At 41.9% G+C, this 4,255-nt stretch overlaps 1 annotated feature.

The window, feature by feature from the left end:
- Nucleotides 2,303–3,502: an enhancer, noted in NCBI's record as "BRD4-independent group 4 enhancer chr20:6593736-6594935 (GRCh37/hg19 assembly coordinates)". NCBI's record gives its function as "activates an origin of replication core promoter dependent on BRD2, P300/CBP, MED14 and CDK7 cofactors, and independent of BRD4, by STARR-seq in HCT116 cells {active_cell/tissue: HCT116}" and the evidence as "EXISTENCE:reporter gene assay evidence [ECO:0000049][PMID:35650434]".

Consider the following 4,255-nt stretch of genomic DNA (forward strand, 5'->3'; position numbering starts at 1 on the left):
ATAATGAGGCCGGGCGCAGTGGCTCATGCCTGGAATCCCAACACTTTGGGAGGCTGAGGCGGGTGGATCACCTGAGGTCGGGAGTTCAAGACCTGCCTGACCAACATGGAGAAACCCCGTCTCTACTAAAAATACAAAATTAGCTGGGCATGGTGGCGCATGCCTGTAATCCCAGCTACTTGGGAGGCTGGGGCAGGAGAAGTGCTTGAACCCGGGAGGCAGAGGTTGAGGTGAGCCGAGACCACGCCAGTGCACTCTAGCCTGGGCAACAAGAGCAAGACTCCATTTCAAAAAAAAAAAAAAAAAAAGGAAAAGAAAAGAGTGGTGAAAAGAGTGGTTATGTCTTCAAATGAATGTGTAGCTTTTCTGGATAGTTTCTTTCTCTCTCTTTCTTTCATCCATTCTCTCTCTCTCCTTTCTTTCTTTCTTTCTCTTATGTATTTAGAGACGGGCTTGTCCAGGCTGGGGTGCAATGGCACGATCTCAGCTCACCGCAACCACTGCCTCACGGGTTCAAGCAATTATCCTGCCTCAGCCTCCCAAGTAGCTGGGATTACAGGTGTGCACCACCATGCCCAGCTAATTTTTTTGTATTTTAGTAGAGACAAGGTTTGTTCGTGTTGGTCAGGCTGGTCTTGAACTCCCGACCTCAGGAGATCCGCCTGCCTCGGCCTCCCAAAGTTGGTGTTTTTTGTTTGTTTGTTTGTTTTAGTGGAGTCTTGCTCTGTCACCCAGGCCAGAGTGCAGTGGCACGATCTCTGCTCACTGCAACCTCCACCTCCTGGATTTAAGCCATTCTCCTGCCTCAGCTTCCCCAGTAGCTGGGATTACAGGCACACACCAACAGGCCCAGCTAATTTTTGTATTTTTAGTAGAGATGGGGTTTCACCATTTTGGCCAAGCTGGTCTTGAATTCCTGACCTCGTGAGCCACCATGCCTGGCCGTTCTTTTCTTTTCTCTTTTATTTTGTTTTCCTTTCTTTTCTTTCCTCTTTTATTTTGTTTTCCTTTCTTTTCTGTTCTCTCTCTCTCTCCTTCCCCCCCTCCCTCCCTCCTTTCCTTCCTTCCTTCCTTCCTTCCTTCCTTCCTTCCTTCCTTCCTTTTGTTCTTTCTTTCACTCTTCCTTTTCAGTTAAATCTTACTGGGTAACAAACCAACCTAAAACTTACTGGCCAAAAATGGCAACCATTTTATTTACTCACATGTCTGTGGATCATCACTGTAATTCTTCTGGTCTGAACCAGCTTTGCTTATCGCTGCAAAGTTCTCTCATGGCCTATAGTCAGTTGGCAAGTCTGCTCTCAACAGGTTGATTAAGGATAACTTCATTCAGATCACTGGTGGTTGGAAGGCTGGTTAGTCTTTATGAGCTTCTGTTGTGGCAGTTTGTGTTTCTTCCATGTGGTTTCTCAATCTTTAGCAGGCTCACTTGGGTTTCTTCATACAATGGTCTAAGAACTCCAGAGAACATGTGCTTATCCACTTCTCAAGAATCCACTTGAATCCCATTTCCTAATGTCTCATTGATCAAAACAATTTTTATATGACCAAGCCCAGAGCCATTGTGTGAGAGGATTACCTCAGGGTATGGATACAGGGAGGAGAATTATCACAGATGACAAATTATTATGTTTTCGCAAATGGACTATTCCATATAACATGAAGCTTCCTTGTTTGAAGTCACTGATATTTTGAGTTCTTTGCTAGTGCATCATGACCTAATCTGTTGTGACTGTTGCAACACCTGAATCAATAACTAGGCTGCTAAGCCAACAAAAATGAGCTCAGTCATTTTTGTTTGATATAGCTACTGATTTTCCAGAAGCAAGAACACTATTTCCTTTTCTTTTATGCACACATCTCCTTTACATATGTCTTCATAGACTGAAACTCTCAGAAGATAGCATTTAATAACACAGGAAGTTTGTGAGAGGTGCCTGGTACGGAAGAGAGTGAGAAGTTGTGATAGAAGAAGCCAAGCTGCTGTGATGACAGCTGAGACTCTGACTGCAGAAAATGAGAGAAGTCTTGGATTTTCATGTATGTCACTCATTTGATATTGTAGAAAAACAGGCATCAGAGTGACTAAAAAATCTCTCCTCAGTTCAGCAGTCACAGAATTTTCTGGGAATCTGGACAAGCAACGTCCCACAAAGCACTAAGAAGAAATTTTAGCTACAAACCAAGTGAACAGCAAATAGCTAAGATAATGTGATAGCCAACATACTCAGATTCTTAGAAGATATTGAGTTAGGCTGAGTAGTAGTCCATCGTATGTATATACCACAATTTCTTTATCCACTCATTGACTAAAGGACATTTGGGCTGGTTCCACATTTTTCAATTGTGAATTGTGCTCCTATAAACATGCATGTGCAATGTAGTACACGTTGCTTTCAAATGTGTGACATGGATCATGAGAAACCTTCAGATAAATAGAACATTGTCTCAAATTCCTAGTCAAAGAGCAAAACTGATTTGCTACAGAAAACTGGAAAATTTTAGAAAGCATTGTTTCTTCTTAAAAAGGACTAAAAATATGACTTCTAAGAATGAAGAGTTAAAAATAATGAATGGAAGACAAATGAAGAGATAACAAGGGAGGCTTGGAGAGGAGGGACGAGGGAGCTGGATGTGTGGAGGTTGATGGACAGGCTGCAGCTGTTAGCAAGATGATGAGTAAAAGTGAGCTGGTAGATCTTTCCCCCTGAAACGCTACTTGGAGTAAGAAGTGCCTCGATCTGGCACTAAGACAAACACTCCCAGAAACAGATGCATCTCAGAGTGGGTAGGAAACAGACCCGAGAGAAAGCAATCAGAATGAGAGAGGGAATTCTATGGTACACTTTCCTCTTACCCCATTACCTGAATGAGTCATTTCCTGCCATGTCACTCTACAAGGAGGTGGCATCATCGGTGAAGGCCCAGGCTGGATGTCAGGCATCAGTATCGGACTTAGACAGGGCTAAAGGGAGAGATGGCGATACCAAGCTCAATCAGATCTACAGCTCCCGAGAATTCTCTCCTCCCACCCCCTGTCCCTCACACCTGGGTGACAGGTGTTTACCAGGAGCATGGAAATGAGATCCATGCTCTGGGAAGAGGTATAGGAAGGTTATCTGGTGGTGAGGTGGCAAATAGAGAGTTGTCCCTCTCAGAGTTTCAGGATTATTTTTTTTTTTTAGATGCAGCCACCTAATCTATTCTCTAAAATCCCCCAGAGGGGTACAGGCTGGGACCTGCTCTTATCTCTTCACACAGGCACACTTTGTGGATACTCCCCGGGAAAACACTACAGAAGAGGAGAACATATGTGTATATGTACATTGATATTTATATTTCAGTATAAGTATACACTTAAATATATGTGCACTTATACACACATATGTATATGTAAAAATACTGTATATATAAAAACAGAAAAGCAAAACTCCTGGATAGATTATATTGTACAAAATTGAATTAATATTTCAGAATCGAATTTTAAATGTTAAATGAATATATTCAAAGTGATATGGCAAGGCTTAGTAAAATGGAACAGAACTAAGCAGTAATAAAGACAATTCAACTGTAAATATGAGTTACGAAAAACAGAAGAGTTGTGCTAAAGCAGCAGTTCCTAAAATGTAATCCCAGGAGCTACAACATTGGCATCACCTGCAAACTTGTTAGAAATCCACACTCTTGCACCCACCCCAGATCTACTGAATCTGAAACTCCTGGACTGGAATCCAGGCATCTGTATTTTAGGGTATATTCCAAGGGGATTCTGAGGCACTCAAGTTTGAAAACCACTGCTGTAGAAAACCAAACTGATTGATTGGGTTGAACTAAAAAATGGTTAGAGATAAAGAGTGATTCACTGAGCTGGAAGATAGTACTGAAAAACCTATCCAAAGGCATTAGGAATAGACAAGGAGATGAAAGTATTTATGTCAATGTTAACAGGCATGATGGATAAAGTAGAAGGGTCAACATCCATATAATAGGACATCAAAAAAGAGGAAGAAAATAATGAAGGGAGGGAAATAGCCAAAGATCTGTTGACCAAGGACTTTCCAGAATTTAGAAAAGATCAGGGTATTTCACATAAATGTCTATATTTCTGTCTTTCTCTTGATAAATTAGAAGATCTGGCAACACTGGCCCACATTGTCATATAGTAGTTTACCCAAGCTGACTAGCAGCTACTGCCTTGAAATTAGGCATTGAAAGGATGAGCATGTGGGCTGTGGTCACAGACTGGCTGGGATTC

This window comes from Homo sapiens, chromosome 20 (assembly GCF_000001405.40).
Source record: "Homo sapiens chromosome 20, GRCh38.p14 Primary Assembly".
Classification (NCBI taxonomy): Eukaryota; Metazoa; Chordata; class Mammalia; order Primates; family Hominidae; genus Homo; species Homo sapiens.